General features: G+C 51.3%; 1 protein-coding gene across 1 annotated transcript, besides 1 other annotated feature; it reads left to right on the top strand.

The window, feature by feature from the left end:
* On the top strand, positions 5,127 to 19,664 carry TRPV6 (transient receptor potential cation channel subfamily V member 6). The gene is given in 15 exon segments (NM_018646.6): positions 5,127 to 5,483; positions 12,846 to 12,943; positions 13,099 to 13,221; positions 13,593 to 13,730; positions 14,035 to 14,133; positions 14,289 to 14,464; positions 14,968 to 15,114; positions 15,192 to 15,404; positions 15,708 to 15,794; positions 15,892 to 15,968; positions 16,216 to 16,381; positions 16,730 to 16,796; positions 17,156 to 17,424; positions 18,394 to 18,500; positions 18,883 to 19,664. Coding segments are annotated over 15 exon segments (2,298 nt in total). The 5' UTR covers positions 5,127 to 5,235; the 3' UTR covers positions 19,166 to 19,664.
* Positions 9,654 to 9,948: a silencer, noted in NCBI's record as "tiled region #15349; HepG2 Repressive non-DNase unmatched - State 13:Ctcf". NCBI's record gives its function as "represses a minimal TATA promoter and a strong SV40 promoter by Sharpr-MPRA in HepG2 cells {active_cell/tissue: HepG2}" and the evidence as "EXISTENCE:reporter gene assay evidence [ECO:0000049][PMID:27701403]".

The following is a 19,706-nucleotide window of genomic DNA, read 5'->3' as shown; positions in this document are numbered from 1 at the left end:
TATATGTGGTGTGTACATGTGCATGTGTGTGTGTCTGCATGTGTGTGTGTCTGCATGTGTGTGTGTCTGCAGGTGTGTGTGTGCGTGTGCATGTGTATGTGTCTGCAGATGTGTGTGTGTCTGCAGGGGTGTGTGTGCCTGTGCATGTGTGTGTCTGCAGGTGTGTGCGTGTGCAGGTGTGTGTGTCTGCAGGTGTGTGTGTGCGCGCAGGTGTGTGTGTGTCTGTAGGTGTGTGTGTCTGCAGGTGTGTGTGTGTCTGTAGGTGTGTGTGTCTGCAGGTGTGTGTGTGCATGTGTGTGTCTGCAGGTGTGTGTGCGTGTGTGTGTCTGCAGGTGTGTGTGTGTCTGCAGGTGTGTGTGCGTCTGCAGGTGTGTGTGCAGGCATGTGTGTCTGCAGGTGTGTGTCTGTGTGTGTCTTCAGGTGTGTGTGTGTCTGCAGGTGTGTGTGTGTCTGCAGGTGTGTGTGTGTAGGTGTGTGTGTCTGTAGGTGTGTGTGTCTGCAGGTGTGTGTGTGCATGTGTGTGTCTGCAGGTGTGTGTGTGTCTGTAGGTGTGTGTGTGTCTGCATGTGTGTGTCTGCAGGTGTGTGTGTGTCTGCAGGTGTGTGTGTCTGCAGGTGTGTGTGTGTCTGCAGGTGTGTGTATGTAGGTGTGTGTGTGTGCAGGTTGTGTGTGTGTCTGTAGGTGTGTGTGTGTCTGCAGGTGTGTGTGTGCATGTGTGTGTCTGCAGGTGTGTGTGTGTCTGCAGGTGTGTGTGTGTGCATGCACTAACTGTCATGGGCTCCTTTGCAGGCTTTATGAGTTGGCGCACGGCTGGTGAACCCAGTGACTGGAACAAACTCCAAGCTGAGTGAGTAAGCAATGCTTTTGACCTCACTACCCCTTGCTGGTTCCATCCCTCATGAGCAGAGAGCAAGGACACGCCCTCCAAGAGGCCAGGGGACACTGCCACAGGCCACACACTGACACTTGACATACCACAACACATATACCACACACACTATACAAATACACCAATACACCCCCAAAATACCACACACACTATAGAAATACACCAATACACCCCCAAAATACCACACACACTATAGAAATACACCAGTACACCCCCAAAATACCACACACATGCAATGCATGTACACACACACTACACACACACACACACACACCCCTCACCACAGAGACTAAGAGCAAGGGAGCAGAGATACTATTGCACAGTGACAGAGGCAGTAAGACAGGAAAAACTGAGCGAAACATAGAAAGACATAGGACAAATAAAAAGTGACAAAGCCAGAAAAAAACTATACATATACTTTTCTGGCTCTAAATCAGTGGTTCTCAATGGAGAATGATTTTGCCAATGTCAGCGTGTAAAGACATTCATGAGCAGCGTGTAAAGACATTCCTTGGTGGTCACAATGGAGGGGAGGGACATGCTACTGTCACCCAGTGAGTGGAGGCTCGGATGCTGCTAAACTTCCTACAATGCCTAGGACAGCCCTTGCAGAAAAGAATTATTTGTTCCGAAATATCAATAGTGCCGGGGTCGAGAAATTGTGCCCCAAATGCGGAAACATCGGGGGCACAGGAGCTCTTTGGAGCTCCTGTGCCTCCAGCTCAGGACTGTGTAACTGTGACCTCTCTGCCCCTCTCAGGGGCCGTCAGAGGAGGCTCTGACACTCTGCCCTGGGGCCCCCAGGGAAGCCTGAGGACCTCACTTTCACTTAGCATTTGAGGCTCAGCCCCAGGCAGGGAGGACTGGTTTAACCACCTGGTCCCCAGGTTGCCTGCTCCAGTCCTGTCCTCCCTCCCTCTTGGCTCCTGACCCCTTCGGTTCTCTTCAGGGCTTGGTCAGAGGCCACCACGAGGGCAGAAAAGAGGTCAGGCCATGCACTCATCATTATGGATAAAATCATTGAGAGGAAGAGCGACTCACTCAGAAGTCACACAAGTCTTATTATTTTTGGAGCCTGGGAAAGGGAACCGGGAGAGGCCAGCCCCGTGAGTGCTCTCCCAGGATCTCCAGTCTCCCCCTCACCACCTTCACCCCAAAACTCACAGCCTCCTGGGCATGCCCACTCCTTGACTGTGGGTTACAGAACCGATTCCTCCCATGTCAGGAGGTGCTGCCCTGGGGTGGAGTGGCACAGAGGGGGCTGTGCTAGTCTCAAGGGAGAAGGAGGTCCACGGCATCCTTCCTGTCCCCTGGAAACAAGCAATATGGGATGCAGGTTTAAGATGTGAGACTGAGGCTGGACGCGGTGGCTCACACCTGTAATCCCAGCACTTTGGGAGGCCGAGGCAGGCGGACCACAAGGTCAGGAGATCGAGACCATCCTGGCTAACATGGTGAAACCCCGTCTCTACTAAAAATACAAAAAATTAGCTGGGCATGGTGGCAGGCGCCTGTAGTCCCAGCTACCCGGGAGGCTGAGGCAGGAGAATGGCGTGAACCCAGGAGGCAGAGCTTGCAGTGAGCCGAGATCACGCCACTGCACTCTAGCCCGGATGACAGAGCAAGACTCCATCTCAAAAAAAAAAAAAAATGCGAGACTGAAAGTGATTGGTGGGGGTGCTTTCAGGAGCTTCTGGGGGTAGTGCCACCTACCCTAGGGCCACCTTCCCTTACTGATACGATGTTAGGTCCAAAGACCAAGAGAACATTGCAGCCAGAAGCTTATATCCTGCAAACTTGTCCTCCCCTCCCATCTGGACACCCCAATTTTGAGTCTGTTGGCTGATCCATGCACAACACCAGGTGGAGGAGGCTGAGGAAGAGGAAGAGCATTGGAAAACAACTTTGTCCTCCTCCTATCCTCCTCCCTCCCTAAGTCTCCCTCCCAAAGCCTCCCTCCCCCAGCCTCTCTCCCCAGCGTAACGAAGGCCTCATTGCTTTCTCTCCTTCCCCACCAGACACTAAACTGGGGTCTTTGAAGCTAAATAGGTCTTTGAAGCGACAAACCACTGGCTTAATGGGCACAAAGGTCTTGGGGTTCAAGGTTTGGGTTCTAGCACCTTCCCCCAACCCAGCCCGAACCCACTGACCCAGGTGGGTGGGGACGAAGCTAATCCAATTGAACTGTTTGCTCAGGACTGCGTGGCCTGGCCTCTGCCCAGCGGCAGGAACACAAATAGCTTTCCACTTGAAGGGGTCCTTCTCTCCCCTGCCCTACCTCAGCATCCACCTCCCTCCACACACCGACTCCCCCCACACACAGCACATATGACACACACCCCATGACATACATACACACACAACACACACCATACATACACACATAGTAAACCCACCATACACTACACAAATCATGTATACACCACACACACACACACACATCATGTACACGCACACATACCTTAAAGGTACCATATACATCACCCACTACACACCATACACACAACACACATGCAACAATCTTTCCACAATACGTATATACACAACACACATGTCACACATACCATCACAGACACCACATCCACACGCTCTACAGGCCATACCTACACATATCACATATATCATACACACGTAGACACATACCAAACACACCACAGGCACATCATATACATACAGCATACCACACACAAAACACCCCACCGATGCACATCATGAACACACGCATAAACACCACACACAAATGCACATGGGCACACACGCCATACACACGCCACACACACACTCCCCTGGCTGGGTCTTCCAACTCTGAGTCAGAGAAAGTTAGGACAAAACAGACTCTGAAGCTAGGAAGTGATCCACACACCTGTGACTCTGAACACCCAGACACCTGCCCCTAGGCTATTGGCACCTGGCTGGCACCAGGAGGTTGGATAAGCCCGGGCTTCTGCCCCTTTCCAGTGGAAAAGTTGAACTAAATGACCTTTCCGACAGCTTCCAGCAAGCTCATGATGGAGCTCTTTGTTGTGGGAAGACGATGGGCCATGCTTAATGCCATCATTCTTCTGTATGACTGTGCGAGTCACTTAACCTCTCTGAAGCTCTGTTGGCCAGTTAGAATGAGGAGGTGTGCTAGGGAGAAAGAAGTGGGCTTGGAATGAGGGATGGGTGTGAATCTTGCCTCTGCCACCTCTATGGCCTTGGGAGAGTTCCTTTACCATGGTGAGCTTTGGTTTCTCCCATCAATACAATGTAGATAATAATACCTGCCTTGCAGGTTTGTTACGAGTTTACCTGGGAACGCTCAGTTAAAAGGCCCAGCACACAGTAGCAGCTGAATGTCACCTCCACGGGAAGGCTGGCAGATAGAATACTTGCAAAACGTGGGGTATATTTATACTAAAAAATTCTTTGTTGTTTATCTAAAATTCAAATTTGACCACGTGTCCTGTATTTTATCGGGCACCCACCCCATGCACGGGGCATTGTGGACAGTCTGTGGAGCTCCTGAGCAGGGGGTCTGCCCAGAGCTAGATTTTGTGCCCTGGCTGGTGAGCGAAGAATGCATTTTACATCTTTGGGGGTGGTTAGAAAACAACCACCAAAACAAAACCAAAGAATAACGTACATTAGAGAGTGTACATGGCTTGCAAAACCTAACATCTTTACATTTCCTATCAGCCCTTCCAGAAAAAGTTTGCTGACCCAAAGGTGATGGGGACTGAGAGGAAAGTCTGGGAGAACTGAGTATCTTCGCAATTTATATACCTATTTCAGGCCTGGCAAGAATGAAACTGGAAGAGTCCAGAAAATGGAATTCTCCAGGACATAAGCAGGGGGAGGCAGAGAGTGAGGCAGGTGGTCGGCAGAAGAGGCACTGTGGGAAAGTGGGGCGCTCCCTCCTGGGAGTCCTCAACATTGGGAATGGGCCTGCCCTGACTCCTCCCCTCCTTTCTCACTGCCTAGAGTCTCTCAGGGTAGGTCACTGGGTGTTCTGACGTCCAAGGGAGGCCTCGCCAGTCTTTCTGAAGGCCTCCCTGGTTGTGACTGGCCTGGGGGCAGGGAGAGAGCCCTGGGTGGAGAAAGAATTGGAGTTGGCACAAGTCCCCCTTGGTAGGCAGGTCTGTGGCTGGCCTGTGTCTTTAAATCTCAGGTAATTTGGGAGGAGGGAGGGCGTGTCCGTGCAGCTTTGGCTCCTCCTGCTCACTCCCAGCAGGAGCTCCAGACAGGCCAGCCCTGCAGAGTCCTGGCTGGCTCTGCCAAGTGTAACAAACTCACAGCCCTCTCCAAACTGGCTGGGGCTGCTGGGAGACTCCCAAGGAACTCGTCAGGAAGGCAGGAGACAGGAGACGGGACCTCTACAGGGAGACGGTGGGCCGGCCCTTGGGGGGGCTGATGTGGCCCCAAGGCTGAGTCCCGTCAGGGTCTGGCCTCGGCCTCAGGCCCCCAAGGAGCCGGCCCTACACCCCATGGGTTTGTCACTGCCCAAGGAGAAAGGGCTAATTCTCTGCCTATGGAGCAAGTTCTGCAGATGGTTCCAGAGACGGGAGTCCTGGGCCCAGAGCCGAGATGAGCAGAACCTGCTGCAGCAGAAGAGGTAAGGCCCCCTTGGTCTGCTCCCTTCCCCACCTCCCCAGGCCTGCACCTCTACCCCTCACCCCTCCCTCACCTCCCGTCTTTGTTTGGCACCTTTGGCTGGACAGATGGTGCTCCCAGGCCCGGACTGGCTCCTTGGGAGCATTCTGTCTTAAGAGCCTCAGCCTGTAGGGCTGGTGAAAGAGGATGGGGTTGAGATGGGCACAGGTGTTCACTATCTTAAGATCTAATTCGATTCTGCAAGCCTCTTGTGAGTACTTCTCTAAGGGCCAGGCGTCTTGCTGGGGCTTGTAAGGATAGAGCATCACAGCCCCTCCACCCAAGAGGGGACGGCAGGTGAGGACAATGCCTTCTGTATCTCCACTGCTTGCCTCTAGAACAGTCTCTCTGGCAGGAACACATAGTATACATATGTTCGCATGGAGGAATGAGTGAACGATTGAATGAATGAAGCAGAGAGAACCGCGGACACCAGGAACCAGAAAATAAGACAAAATGTGAAAAAAGTGACCATTCCTATGTATCTGTCTCATCAGACACTGACCAAGGCCTTACTATTTGCCCAGCACTGGGGGGATATGAAGACCTACAACGCTCAAACCCAACCTTGAGGTGTATTTCTCTCTCAGTGCGGGTGGGGACTGAGGGGAAGCGGGTCAAAATAACAGATGTTCCGAGGACCTGTGCTCTTCCGCATTCAGGTGGTGGAAATCGAGACTCTAGCGTTTAAGCCCTAAGGACATTCACTGGTGGCTTCCAGCCCCTGAAAACTTCCTAAACCCGTGTCCTGCTTTCTTCACCATGACAGCTTGGAGTACAGAGCAGGAGAGGAGCAGGGAATCGGAACTCAGGGCTATCCCTGCATGTGGTCTCTTCTTCAAGGTCTCTAATAGAGTTCTCTACCCAGTTGGTGGCATGCTAGAAGGAAGTCCTGCCTGTTGGGGCTTTCCCTGGGTCACGAAGGAGGCAGATGTCTGGTCATAGAGGAAAGCCTGAAGTCTTTGTGCCTTAGGGTTTTTCTCTGACCCCAAGAGTAGGAGCCTGCTTTAGCCTGACCGGGGAGGCTGCCTGGAGGCCCCTGTGTTTTCTTTTGCTGAAGGATTCTGGGTTGGGGATGGTCTCTTTCTGTGAATTATGGCTTCCCATCTCTCCAGCCGCCCACCTCTCCCCCAAGGCCTGGGAGAGTGGGGACTGGAGCACATGTTTGGCTGATGACATCTTGGGGCAACAGAATGGCATTGTTGTTAGAGAGTAGGTCGTCCTCACTGGCTTCACTCATCCTCTTCCCACTCTTAGGACCCCAGGGCCAGGGGATCCAGGCACAGAGTGCAAAAAGGCCTGGGGGATTGGAAGGGGTGGTGGAGATTCCCTGTGTGCGATATCAGGGGAGAGCAGAGGGGAGGCCCTGCGCTGAGTGGCTGAGAATAGGCTGCTTCCGCATGTCCTGTCTGCCCTCACTTTTCCTCAGATCATATGGGGGCTGCCTCTGCAGACTTTGGCTAGAAAGGCTTGATGTCACCCTTGGGAGGGATCCCCCCTCCCTGCCCTGATCTCCTTACTGGCCTCCGCACTTTCTTGGCCTTCTTCTTGCTGGATATCAGGTGTCCAGAGCAATGACTCTTCTTTGGGTGGGCACTTCCCAGAAGGATGCTGAAATTGCCTGCAAGGGGAGTTTCCTAATCTGTGCCGTCAACCAAAGAGAAGGCATGGGGGCATTGAGATAAACATGGGATGACTAAGTAAATAGGAACAATATGGACAAGTGAGGGGTGAGCTAATGGAAGAAAGGAGCACACAATGATTGAGAACCCAGTGCTGTACTAGGTACTACCACCTGCCTTATCTCCGTCATCCCGGTAACAATAATGGAAGGTGGGTCCTGTTATCCCCCTATGAATGGGGCAGGCCCAGAACCCTAGAGCAAGTAAATGGTGAAGTTGAATTTGTTCCAAAGGGGACTCACAGGGAGAACTGTGGGGTGGGATTGCGTGGGATTCCATGCGGTACAGGATGGTCTAGTGAGAAAGGAAGGCTTTGAGTCTCTCCAGGATGATCGGGAACCCAAACTCCTCTTTTTACAGTGGACGTTTCTTGGTGCTTAGCACGCAGCCCGCTCTGCTTAAATCTACATTGCTGGGATCCAAGTCGAGCTCTCAACTTTCTCCCGTGTCCTCCAGGTCATCTCCCCCTTGGGCTTGGGTTTTCTCACTTCCTGATATTTAATGCATTACACATTTATTGAACATAAGGCACTCCACCTTTCTGCAGAAAATGAATATGACACTGTTCCTGCTCTCAGGGAGTTCTCATTCCTATGACCAAAGTTTACTGAAGGCACATACGGGGCTAAAGATGGGCTTAGTAGACATCACTAGAAGGGTGTAAATGAGTGTTCTGGAAGCATAGAGGGGGAAGTGTGAGATCTGATTTCGGCTGCTGTGGGGTGTCCTGGGCAGCTTCATAGAGGCTGCTTAACCTGAACCCCACTCCAGCCCATGTGCTGGCACTTTGTCATCTAAGGAGCAATTTGGAGGGAAGGTGATGCTTGTTGGAGCTTTTTTTAGGGTTAAATACCTGTATGAAATGTGTGAATTGAGTGTCTGAAAAGTCATCCCTGGGTTTCTCTGGTATATTGTGCACGCTTGCCTTGGTAAATACTTACACACATGCCTACTTGTAAATGCGCAAATAGACATGTGCACAAAAGGAGCTGTGGCACTTAGGATGGCAGCCGATTCCAAATCTCTAAACAACCACTTTGGCTTTCTCATCCCCATTGCCAGGAACATGAGCTGGAGGGAGGTGGCCCACAAGTGCCCAATGTATGCCTCCGCCCCACACATTACCGCTCTTTCCTTCATCTGTGGTCACTGCTCAGGCTTGCCCCCCAACCTCCAAGAAAAATCAGGAGGAGCCATAAAACTAGAAGAACCACATAATTTAGTGGTCAGAGCCTGGGGCTGGATTCTTGGCCAAGCATCCTGCCTTTAACTCCGTGTGATCTTCTGGCAATGATTTGGTTATGCCGCTTCAGTTTCCTTTTCTGAAGCATGGGAGAACTATTCAGCTGGTGTTAGAAGGTTGTAAAGAGCAAAAGTGATAATGAGTGAGATGCTGCGGGAATGAGAGGGGCCATGAACTTCCCCTGCACAGCACTGTATCCACCCAGGAATGCAAGAAGCCACGCACTCCGAGCAACCCTGTTATGTACCAGCCCCAGCCCTGCCCAGAGGGTACACTCACTGGTGGGAAAGGTATTTGTGGAGAGACCAGTGGGACCCATGCCTGTCTTCTCTAACTCCTCTTCCAGCCCTGATTAAAACTGAGAATCGTGACCAAGAAATGACCAGTGGGGCATGCGTCGTGGCTCTGTCTCTGACTTGCTTCCTCCATCTGTTTCATGAGCAGATTTGACTCAGTTTCTGAGGGGCTTTCTAGCTCTAAAAATCTTATTTGAACTTTTCTCAAGAGTCTTGTGATCCTGCCTTGTTTCTCAGCACCTAAAAACCAAATTGGACCCATGCACACAGTGCACACATCTACAAGGATGGAGGAGCAGATGAGGGTGTGGGGCGGAGGAGACGGAGAGAGGAAGTCAGGAATCCTTCCCTGGTGGCCCAGAGGCAGCCCTGAGAAGGAGGTCATTGATCTGTTTGCTCAAGAAATAATGTGCTAGATTTTGTGCCAGGAACCCCTTAGTTGGGTTTTCACCAGGCTAATGTTGAACTAGACCGTTCAATTTTATTATAATTAATTGCCTAGTAAAAGAAAACATTCTAGAACCTGAAAATACCTTTCATATTGTTACAGTTTCAGATTTGCTCTATAATCTCTTTTGACTACTTCATCAGTGGGAGCTTAAAAGGCTTCATCTGACTTTTTTTTGTTTCTCCCTTAGTTGAGTATTTAGTGATCCATAAGAAAACATTTTTATGTATAGGATATTTCTGATTCCTTTTCGAGTGAAGAATCCTCATTCTAAAACGGATTATGAATCATTGTACCTCTGAATCAGGGGTTCTCCACCTTGGACTATTGACATTTTGGACAGGATAATTCTTTGCAGTGAGGGCTGTCATGTGCAGGGTGCTTAGCCGTGTCCCTGCCTTTGACCCCCGTGTTGTGATCTAAACTCCTGTGATAAGTTGCTATTGAAAAATCTATTTGTCCCCCAAGCACAGGAATCTTTGAGTAGGTCAGCTCTGTGCACCTCCTTCAGGGACCCAAGGAGAGTCAGGTGTTTTGGGGTCAGCCTTACTCCCAAGCAGGTGAGCTAGGGCTTTCTGTGCTGTCCCCTTGTGGGCATATGAGGTTATTGCAAGTAATGGCTGGGCCGGATACCTTCAAAACCCGTCCACAGGCTGGGCCCCCCTTTTTGCTGGAGTCTGGAGTTCACAGTCGGAGGAGGCTAGTTCTCTACAAACCTTGCTGGGTTGGGTCATAAGCTGGCTCTTCACGCAGGGTGTGGTCTGGCTAGGTTGCCAGATAAAATGCAGGACACTCAGTTCAATTTAAATTTGAGATAACGAATAGGCTGCTAGTATAAGTGTATCCCCAATATTGCACGTGACATACTTATACTAAAAAAAAATTGTGCATCTGACATTCAAATCTAACTGAGCATCCTGTATTTTTATTTGGTAACTCTAGCAACTCTGGGTCTGACAGTAGCTTTTTGTTTTCCCCAGGCCACTAGAGTGTCAGAATTCATAGGGAATGGAGGTTTATGGGGGACACTTTCAGCTTCAGAGACGTGTAGGGACCAAAGGGGAATCTTTGAGCCTGCCACTGACTATACCACCACTAACATCTAGGATACAGCGAGTAGAACTCTGGACTTGGAAAAGGTGCTCTCTCGGACCCATTTCTAGATTTGCCATCAATCTTTCACACATTTGGTCAAAATGGGACACAAACGTGGAAGCATATTGGAGGAGGGCAGGGAAGAGTTAGTGGCTGGTCTCTTCCCTCGAGTACCCTTAGCATAGAGGAAGGGACACAGATACATAGCAATTACAGCACCCAGTGAAAGATGCTGAAATAAAAGTAAGGCCACAGGAGAGAGTGAAGAACTTCTGAGTGTCTGTGTGTGTGTATGTGGTGCTAGCGATTGTTTTCCCCTCAGTCTAGGGTATCTAGAGAGGAGGGCTTTGTGCAAATGGTTGATGTGGTGGTGGTGATGGAGGGAATGTGGAAAACTTGTTTTGAAGCTGTGTTTGCATACCAAGTGTACTATTTTTCACTTATATGCTTGCTGAAAGTTGGCTTAGCGGGCAGCTGATGAAAATAATAATAACAGTTAATTCAAACCACCTTTTGGCATTGCTGCTGATTCATTCACTCTACAGATGGTGTCAGTGAGCATCTACACCATCCTAGGTGTATTTCTAGGCATAGGCAGTGCAGAAGACACAATGAACAATTGGCGGGCTGGGGGAGTTGGATTCTAGAAGGAAAGAGCTTCATGGGCACAGACATAGGGAGAATGGTGTGCTCTGCAGTGCTGAGACAGGATGAGACCAAAATGCCAGGTCTAAGGAGTGGGTGGGACGTGCAGAGGGTGGAAAAGTAGTTGCACAAAGACCTTAAAGAGCTTCTGTGTTCCTTATCCTTAGCATTTTGCTAATCTGGGCTAGAGAATGAAGACTTGAATTAATGAGGGTTAGCAGGAGCAAGGAGGTAGGGACTGAATGAAGAGAGAGCTTTCCATGCTGAACTGACAGGACCTGGTGGCAGCTGCTGTGCATGGGGGCAAGGCAGAGGAGATGAGTGAGCTGATGTCTCCTCTCTGATTGCCCTCCCACCTCCAGCTCTGGAGTCAATTTCTTGCCACTGCCAGCGCTTTAGAATGTGAGCTCCTGTCTATGTCTTTTTGTATGTCACATAATTGTCAAACTATGGATAAATAGAGTTATTTCATTTACTCCCATAGAAAGACCAAATGGCTCCAGGCCAAGAGAAAATTGAATCAAAGGGACCCATGTGTCTTAGTTGGGGTAAGTTCTAATTTTAAAAGAGATTTTTAGCACACAGTAGGTATAAGAATAAAGAGATGATCTGGGGATTCAGAGAAGATAATTTTGCCTAAAACAAGCGAGAAGTGGATAATAAGGAGAGACTAATCTGACTCAGCAAAATAAACGGATCCATGAATCCCAAATTGGGTAAATCCAGGAAGGGTCCGAAGACAGAATGGGAACATTCAGATGCACATGAAATTCGATGAATGAATCCTCTAGATTGGATTCTCTTTTTTCTCTGCATCTGTCATTGTTGGCCATAGTTTGTGTCTTAGGGGCCAATAGCCGAAACAAAGTAGTATCTAAAGCCCTCTAGACAGCTGGTCTGAAAATGATGGAGAACACTGTTTCGCAAACTTTAATGTGAGCTGTTTGGAAACTGAGACCCCTGAGCTTGTCTCTGATTTATCGCCACCGGTTTTTGCATGCAAGGACCACTTAAGCAATGCTTCTCCAACTTTCATATGCCCAGGAATCAGCTGGAAATCTTCTTAAACTGCAGATTTGGATTCACTAGGTGGAAGGGTCCGCCAGAGCATTTCCATTTCTTATAAGGGCTCATGTGCTGCTGCTGATCCAGGGGTCCACTTTAAGAAGGAAGGCTGTTGAGATGATGTGAGAAGAAAGACGAGAGGCAGAAAGGAAGAGACAGAGATAATGAATGAATGAATGAATGAATGAATGAATGAACACCTATGAGGAAGGAAGGCCTGGAGCCAGGCTTGTTCTTATGGTCCACTGTTCTTTTGTGTTAAGCCCTGAAGATGCTATTGTTGGGAGGGAAGCGCCAGGATCAAAGGGTTCTGCTGAGAAGGTTGAGTAGGCAGAGGATGGTGCAACAGGAGAAATCCTGCTAGCCTGTGCATATGACTCCCTCCACAAATATGAGACAGGAATTCCTTGCACCCCTCGGTCCATGCAAAACAAGGCTTATCCTGGAGGGCAATCTCAGGGCACCTGGTGAGGGTCAAACAGGACCACTCCAGGGGTAAACTGGTTAGCAGGTAAGCACATGTCTACATAGAACTCCTCCCCTCCGTACCTGAAATGCACTGATAATACATTCACACATGATACATTCTGGTCCCAGGACCCGGTAGGGGGGAAGGAAACCAGTCACGGACAATCTCAAAACGCATGCTAAATGGGCAAAAAGTTGATTGTATTTACTGACTGTAAAGAGAAAAGACATCAATGGCCCCACCTGCCTTGATTGAAGACCCTGAGGTTCCTGCTGCTGAGGCACACACATCTGTGTATAATAATGGAGTCAAGCCAGGGCCTCTCCCTCCACAACTAGGTATGCTCACTGTTTCCAGCTTTCCTATTCCATCCCTTCATAGGATCTGGGAGTCTCCTCTCCTTCTAGCTGCCAAAGATAATGATGTCCAGGCCCTGAACAAGTTGCTCAAGTATGAGGATTGCAAGGTGCACCAGAGAGGTAAGAAGCACAAATGCAGCATGATCTCCTAGGTGAGCCCCACACATGGGGCCTCCCAGGAGTGCCCAGGACCTCGTGCTGTTGGCCTCTGAATCTATCGTCTCCAATCCGCTGTCCCACAGAAGCCATATAACCCACCTCTCTGTAAATGCCAGGAGCCATGGGGGAAACAGCGCTACACATAGCAGCCCTCTATGACAACCTGGAGGCCGCCATGGTGCTGATGGAGGCTGCCCCGGAGCTGGTCTTTGAGCCCATGACATCTGAGCTCTATGAGGGTGAGGGCCCACGGGTCTGGGGTGAAGAGCAGGAGTGACTGGTTGGGTATTTCAAGTCAGTCTCTGTGATGGATAATTTGGGAAAGACACAGGGGATCTGAGCCTCCTACTCTTTTTTTCTCTTCTCTGTCTCCCTTCCGTGTCAGTCCTGACTGCCCATCACTAGAACGCCTGCCCCCTGAAATGCCAGGGGCCTAGAGAAGAGGAAGAGATGGGCAGCAGCTGGATCCCCTGGGAATCCTGAACACCCGAGAGCTCCCTGTTCTCCATCCCAGGCTACCCCTGAGGGAAAGAGACTGGGGTGCATATGGGAGGGACCCCCTGCAGGATCCTGGGGACAGACCCGTGACTGACAGCTGTCTCTGGGCCAGGTCAGACTGCACTGCACATCGCTGTTGTGAACCAGAACATGAACCTGGTGCGAGCCCTGCTTGCCCGCAGGGCCAGTGTCTCTGCCAGAGCCACAGGCACTGCCTTCCGCCGTAGTCCCTGCAACCTCATCTACTTTGGTGAGAGCAGGGCTGGGCTTGGAGGACGGGCAGTTGGAAAGGTGGGCAAGGCAGGGCAGGGCCAGGCAGAGGAGGATCCTGTCTTCAGCCGTATCTGTTGGGCAGCTGGGAGGAGCAATCCTTCTAGGGCTTAATTAGACTAGAGGCCAATTTACCCCACGACCCTTCCTCTGGTTCTGCAGGAAAAGTGTCCTCAAGCCCTGAGCTGAGATGTGGGGGAAGATAAGGCTGTCACTTGGGGGAGACTGTCCACCCCATCCTGCCATCCTGCACTCTCCTACCATAGATCTCTCTGTGTCCACAGGGGAGCACCCTTTGTCCTTTGCTGCCTGTGTGAACAGTGAGGAGATCGTGCGGCTGCTCATTGAGCATGGAGCTGACATCCGGGCCCAGGACTCCCTGGGTAAGAGCTGAGATGGGGAGGGGAGCTGGGATGCTGCAGGGAGTGAGGGACAGGGTGAGGAGAGGGGCTGGGACCTTCAGGAAGACCTCAGGGTGGGGATGGGGACATCAGGGACTTTAGGCCAGTGGCCACATGATACCCTGTGTCCTCCCCAGGAAACACAGTGTTACACATCCTCATCCTCCAGCCCAACAAAACCTTTGCCTGCCAGATGTACAACCTGTTGCTGTCCTACGACAGACATGGGGACCACCTGCAGCCCCTGGACCTCGTGCCCAATCACCAGGGTCTCACCCCTTTCAAGCTGGCTGGAGTGGAGGGTAACACTGTGGTGAGAGACGGTCCCCATCCCTGAGGTGTCTTTCTAATGACCCTCAACCTATCCCGCTGGCCCTGGGAGAAACAGAGGTGAACGCGATCCCTGATGCTTAGATCCCATTCTCAACTCAGAAATTTTTCAACCCCTCCCACTGTGGTTACCTGTTCCCTTTCTTGCCCACTCCTTTTCCCCTGAGGCATTGGGGGTTACAGAGTCTAGATCCCATGCTAGGATTGTCTGTAATGCCCCAGCCCACCTTCCCTTTCAGCCCCCAGAGCAGGGCCCTCCAGCCTCTCGTCTCTCCTTTCCAAACTCTGGAGGGAGTCATGGGAGAGGATGAGGAACCTATGAATGTCACTGTGAATGTGGGTTCTTCTGCCCTCTAAAGGCTGTCATCAAAATGAAAGGGCAGCCACCTTCTCCAGGGGTGCCGTCCTCCTGCACATGCATCCTATCCACACTCTGTGACCGTCCCCTTTGCTTACTGCTCCTGAGTCATCTTCACTTTCCCTTAGATGTTTCAGCACCTGATGCAGAAGCGGAAGCACACCCAGTGGACGTATGGACCACTGACCTCGACTCTCTATGACCTCACAGAGATCGACTCCTCAGGGGATGAGCAGTCCCTGCTGGAACTTATCATCACCACCAAGAAGCGGGAGGTATGGCTCATGACAGCAGGCTGTGGCTGGGGAGGGGTGTCAGGGTCTCTGAGCCACCTGTTCTCTTTCTGTTGCAGGCTCGCCAGATCCTGGACCAGACGCCGGTGAAGGAGCTGGTGAGCCTCAAGTGGAAGCGGTACGGGCGGCCGTACTTCTGCATGCTGGGTGCCATATATCTGCTGTACATCATCTGCTTCACCATGTGCTGCATCTACCGCCCCCTCAAGCCCAGGACCAATAACCGCACGAGCCCCCGGGACAACACCCTCTTACAGCAGAAGCTACTTCAGGTGACACCCTTGTAGGAGCAGATCAGCAGGGCAGGACTTGGCTCTCTGTCCTCAGAGACTGGTGTCCCTTTCCTCCCTCACACCATTTCTCCCCTTGCTCTAATCTCAAATATATGGGTACAAACTCCAAATGCACGCCCACAAAAACACACATACGCTCTTACTCTGAGAGCAGAGTTTGAGAAGACCCAAACCTAACAGATTAAAAAGAATCTGCTAAGACTGGTGACCCTGGGCACCATGGAAATGCAGGGCAGAGGCCTGAAAGCCCTGAGCATTTTGACTGTTCTTCTCCCCCATTAGGAAGCCTACATGACCCCTAAGGACGATATCCGGCTGGTCGGGGAGCTGGTGACTGTCATTGGGGCTATCATCATCCTGCTGGTAGAGGTGAGGTGTGGATGGACTCTGGGTGAGGCTGTCTGCCCGAGGAATCCAGCCCAAGTTCCGGTATCTGAGTGCCTTTGTGTCTCCCTGACCTCTTCAGGTTCCAGACATCTTCAGAATGGGGGTCACTCGCTTCTTTGGACAGACCATCCTTGGGGGCCCATTCCATGTCCTCATGTGAGTTTCCTTCCTCTCACTCCCATCCCTTCCCTCAACAGGGCTCCAGTTCCACTCCTTGGATTCCTGACCTCTCAAGAACCTTAGCTCCAGAGCCCCCTCTCTAGTGCTGTGTGTATGACCCTGGGCATTGAGTGTGGGGAGGCTGAATCTGCATGTGTGGGTACTTTCCCAGCTACATTCTTGCTGTCAGGTCCCCAGGATCATCCCAGCCCTCCCCTCATCACCCTCCTCCCTGCTCCCCCAGCATCACCTATGCCTTCATGGTGCTGGTGACCATGGTGATGCGGCTCATCAGTGCCAGCGGGGAGGTGGTACCCATGTCCTTTGCACTCGTGCTGGGCTGGTGCAACGTCATGTACTTCGCCCGAGGATTCCAGATGCTAGGCCCCTTCACCATCATGATTCAGAAGGTCAGTCCTCCCCCCAAGCTCCCTAGAGAAAGGCCCCAGAGCCACAGTCAGCAGACGGTCCCATAAAGGGCAGAACAGTAGACATTGCAGGTTCTGCAAGCCACACATGGCCTCACTGCATGTTTTTCTTCTTTTTTAACAATCCTTTTAAAAAATGTAGAAACCCTTTTCAGTTCAAAGGCCACACCAAAGCAGGTCAGGTAGATCTGGTCCACAGGCCATAGATAGCCAATCCCTGTCCCAGAGGGTGGAGCTGTGAGACTTGTCGGGGTGAGACCTGTTAGAGGCTGGATGGGGCAATTGCTTGGGGAATGTGTGCAGATGTTCTCTGCCTCCTGCTCCTTCTAGATGATTTTTGGCGACCTGATGCGATTCTGCTGGCTGATGGCTGTGGTCATCCTGGGCTTTGCTTCAGGTAATCATCTGTCCAGGACCAGGGGCCATGGCAGGGAAGAGATGAGGAAGTCTAGGGGGCACTGGCTCTGGCTAAACTTGGGGAGGAGGAGTAATGCAGAGATCAGAGGAGACCTATGGTATCAGAGGATGGGACGTCCTCCAGAGGTGAGAAAAATCGGGAGTGTTAGGGAGAGGTGGCTCTTAGGATCAAGATGAGGCTCATACAAAACTAGGGACCGTAAAAACCCAAAGTTTGGAGCACTGCAGAGCTGGTGATATTGAGATGAAGGGACCAGGATGGACATGCACGCAGAGCCCGGGGTGGGCTGGTCGTCTGCATGGTTGCCATGGTAACCCTCACCCCCTTGGGTGGAGCAGCCTTCTATATCATCTTCCAGACAGAGGACCCCGAGGAGCTAGGCCACTTCTACGACTACCCCATGGCCCTGTTCAGCACCTTCGAGCTGTTCCTTACCATCATCGATGGCCCAGCCAACTACAACGTGGACCTGCCCTTCATGTACAGCATCACCTATGCTGCCTTTGCCATCATCGCCACACTGCTCATGCTCAACCTCCTCATTGCCATGATGGGCGACACTCACTGGCGAGTGGCCCATGAGCGGGATGAGCTGTGGAGGGCCCAGGTGAGCCCCCTGGTGGCAGGGAGGGTTAGGGCAAGTCATCCCCTTCCTACCAAGGAACCTGCCAAGCTGAGAGACAGGATATCTCCACCCCACTTATGTTTGGACAGTTGTGGCAAAGCTAGCAAAATCATGCAAAATGTACAGAAGCACTGATTAGCAATTCAACCAGGCAATACTGGAATCGCTGAGAAGAATGCCTCACAGTTTTCTCAACAGTTAAAAGCTCAGTGTTTTCTAGAGGAATCAACAAGAAATAAATCAAAAGAAAATTAACGTTGGCTAAAATTGCACTCAGTACATTTTGTTCCCAAATAAAAACTGGAGTATCAAGTCTTCTTGATAATATTTAAGTCTGCAAAATTTGATATGGAAAGCAGGATGTGTTAAAAAAGTAATGCCACCAAAACTTCCTATAGTAGCAGAAGCTATCTTCAGCCAGATCTTCAAGATAGGGAGAGAAGACCATGAGATGAATCAAATCCTCATTTAAAAAACACCTAGAAAATAATTTATCTAAAAAAATCATTTCAGCAAAATAATGGAAATTTCCCAAACTGGAAGGCATTTAACTATGCTGTGTAGAAAACGGAGTGGAAAAACTAAGCTGGGAAATAAGGTTCACTCAGAAAAATATTTTCTCCAGGAATATATATTGATATTCTAAGTGGGATGTTTATATTTATAAGTGGCCTTTATGTCTGTAGGGTCAAAATATCTGGGAGCCCTTAAAAGCCCTTTCTATTTGCTTTCTCTGGTGCCTGTGCTCCTGGGAATGGGGCTTCTGCTTCCTGTCTTTCTCCTGCCTCTGGCCTGGCTGCGTCATGGATGTTGGGTCATTGGGTAAAGAATTGTTGGTCTCAAGCTCTATCAACTCTCTCCCACTGAAGAAGGTCAACAAAGGCTGCCCTACCCCTACCTCTGTCTGCGCCCAGCCTCATCTCTGACTTCTCCTTTTGTTCCCATACGCAGATTGTGGCCACCACAGTGATGCTGGAGCGGAAGCTGCCTCGCTGCCTGTGGCCTCGCTCCGGGATCTGCGGACGGGAGTATGGCCTGGGAGACCGCTGGTTCCTGCGGTGAGTGATATGCGGGGGTAGGTGTCCCCTGAGAAGCCTCATCGGCAGGGTATCCCCCTGCTCAGACAGCTTCCGGCTCCTGGGTTCCCTGTGGAGGCCTGTGTGCTCCCTAGGCTCTATGCTTGTTGATTGAGCTGGTGAGGAAGGGGTCCCGTTTGGAGCTCAGACTTCCCAAAGCATCCAGGGAGTCTGTGGCAGAGCCTGCTGCTTTCTGAGGCCTAGCTGCCAAGGGGCCAGTGACCCAGGCATCCACCATGGCTGCAGAAAAGGGAAAAGGCCAGCAATGGCGGGGATGGGAGGACCAGGGGATAACAGACAAGCATCCTTCTTGGATCTGTTCTTCAAGTCCTGGCTGTGTCTCAAGTCCTCCCGCATTCCACAGGGTGGAAGACAGGCAAGATCTCAACCGGCAGCGGATCCAACGCTACGCACAGGCCTTCCACACCCGGGGCTCTGAGGATTTGGACAAAGACTCAGTGGAAAAACTAGAGCTGGGCTGTCCCTTCAGCCCCCACCTGTCCCTTCCTATGCCCTCAGTGTCTCGAAGTACCTCCCGCAGCAGTGCCAATTGGGAAAGGCTTCGGCAAGGGACCCTGAGGAGAGACCTGCGTGGGATAATCAACAGGGGTCTGGAGGACGGGGAGAGCTGGGAATATCAGATCTGACTGCGTGTTCTCACTTCGCTTCCTGGAACTTGCTCTCATTTTCCTGGGTGCATCAAACAAAACAAAAACCAAACACCCAGAGGTCTCATCTCCCAGGCCCCAGGGGAGAAAGAGGAGTAGCATGAACGCCAAGGAATGTACGTTGAGAATCACTGCTCCAGGCCTGCATTACTCCTTCAGCTCTGGGGCAGAGGAAGCCCAGCCCAAGCACGGGGCTGGCAGGGCGTGAGGAACTCTCCTGTGGCCTGCTCATCACCCTTCCGACAGGAGCACTGCATGTCAGAGCACTTTAAAAACAGGCCAGCCTGCTTGGGCGCTCGGTCTCCACCCCAGGGTCATAAGTGGGGAGAGAGCCCTTCCCAGGGCACCCAGGCAGGTGCAGGGAAGTGCAGAGCTTGTGGAAAGCGTGTGAGTGAGGGAGACAGGAACGGCTCTGGGGGTGGGAAGTGGGGCTAGGTCTTGCCAACTCCATCTTCAATAAAGTCGTTTTCGGATCCCTGCCCAGCTGCCCTTCTGCATCTCTGCAGTGCCATCTGCCGGC

Source organism: Homo sapiens, chromosome 7 (assembly GCF_000001405.40).
Source record: "Homo sapiens chromosome 7, GRCh38.p14 Primary Assembly".
Lineage (NCBI taxonomy): Eukaryota > Metazoa > Chordata > Mammalia > Primates > Hominidae > Homo > Homo sapiens.
Note: the sequence above shows the minus strand (reverse complement) of the source record. Positions and strands in the feature narration are given on the sequence as shown.